This window comes from Homo sapiens, chromosome 18 (genome assembly GCF_000001405.40).
Source record: "Homo sapiens chromosome 18, GRCh38.p14 Primary Assembly".
NCBI lineage: Eukaryota > Metazoa > Chordata > Mammalia > Primates > Hominidae > Homo > Homo sapiens.
The window spans coordinates 29,794,720-29,796,527 of NC_000018.10; positions in this window are offsets into that span (position 1 = coordinate 29,794,720).

Below are 1,808 nucleotides of genomic sequence, written 5' to 3' on the forward strand. Positions count from 1 at the left end.
CAGGAGTGGTGGCTTGTGTCTGGGTGAGGCAGGAGGCTGAGGCAGTAAGACAGTAAGATCACTTGAGGCTAGGAGTTCAAGACCAACCTTTGCAACATACCAATAGCCCTCTTCTGTACATTTTTTTTTTTTTAATTATTGGCAAGGTCTATAGTCTCAGCTATGTGGTAAGCCAAGATGGGAGGATGGCTTGAGCCCAGGATCTCAAGGCAGCAGTGAGCTATGATTGTGCCACTGTACTCTAGCCTGGATGACAAGAAAAGAATTAAAAAAAAAAAAAAAGACTAGGAATTCAGAAAAAGGTAGGAAGCAGAACATGAATAAGTATTCAATTAAGACTAAGTTTTGTTTTTTGAATTAGTTGTTGTTTTCCCTGTCATTTGAAAGCCAAATCTGGTTTGGATCCACGGGAAGCAGTGAACATTGGAGCCAGGCTGCTTGGGTTCCAAATCCTAATTCTTCATTTTAGTATCTATTTAATTTAACACAGTTACTTTAGCTTCTTATATCTCTGATTTTTTCATTCCTAAAATGAGATGTGAATAAAAACCTGACTGAGTTTTTTGTGAAATGAATTTTTAAATCACTTAGAGCAGTGCCTTCCATATAGTAAGCACTCAATAAATACTCGCCATTATCTATTATTTTCCGTGGTGGTGGTAGTAATAGTAACAGTAGTAGTAGCAGTATTAGTAATAGCAGTAGTAGTAGAAGAAGAAGAAAACGGGAACAAGAAATAAAATGAGGAGTGAAAATTTACTTAAGTGTAGGGAAATGCTGAATTAGTAAAGTCAGAGGGGGAACAGGGTAAGCAAAGACTACTTAAAAAAAAAAAAAGTAAATTCTTGTATTAGTTTTCTGTGGCCACAGTGATAAATACCAAAAATTTGGTGTCTTGAAACACATTTATTTTCTCACACTTCTGAAGTCCAGAAATTAGAAGTCACTTTTTTGGGGGTAAAGTCAAGATGTCAGCAGGGCTTAGCCCTTCTGGAGTCTCTAAGGAGAAAATTGCTTGCTGTTTCTGGCTTCTGGCAGGTACTGGAAATCCGTGGCTTCTTGCCTGCCACATCACTCTCATCTCTATGTCTGACATTGCATTGCTTTCTCATCTTCTCTTCCATTCCTCCCTCTTATAAGGACACACTTGTTATGATGTTTATGACCCACATGGATAATCCAGATAATCCCTCCACATCAAGATCTTTAACTTAATCAAAGTCCTTTTTGCCATATAAGGTAGCATTCACAGGTTCCAGGGATTAGGATATGGATATATTTGGAGGTCAAGCTCTATTTTCAAGTTCTTCCCAATCAATATTTTATTTTTAAAACTTCAATAAGCATAATTCAAAATGAATCACGGGTTTGTGTGTGTGTGTCATTTTTCTGACATTGAAAAAAGTAGGAATTATACAGTTGAGATGTTTATTACCAGTATAAAGTGTAGTAAAATCGATTACAACAAATCTTCACGTGTCAGTTTTTTACTTCTGTAATTATATGAAGGATTAGTGAATGTCATAACAGAAAAGTGTTACATGCATGTATCCATATTCAAATAGAAATAATAATATAGTTTTTGATGCCTGAGATAAGGTGGTATACTAGATTTATAAAGCATTATTAAAGAAACTAAACAAAATCTCATTTATTTCTAATTTACCGAATATCAATTAAATTATGTGAAAAATTTTGCCAGGTTTTCCAATTTACCTAGAGCTTTCTGGGTACTCAGAAGATGTTTTATGAATGCCATCCTGAATGTTTTCTGTTTGTTCACTTGTATTTACATTAAATTGATGCAA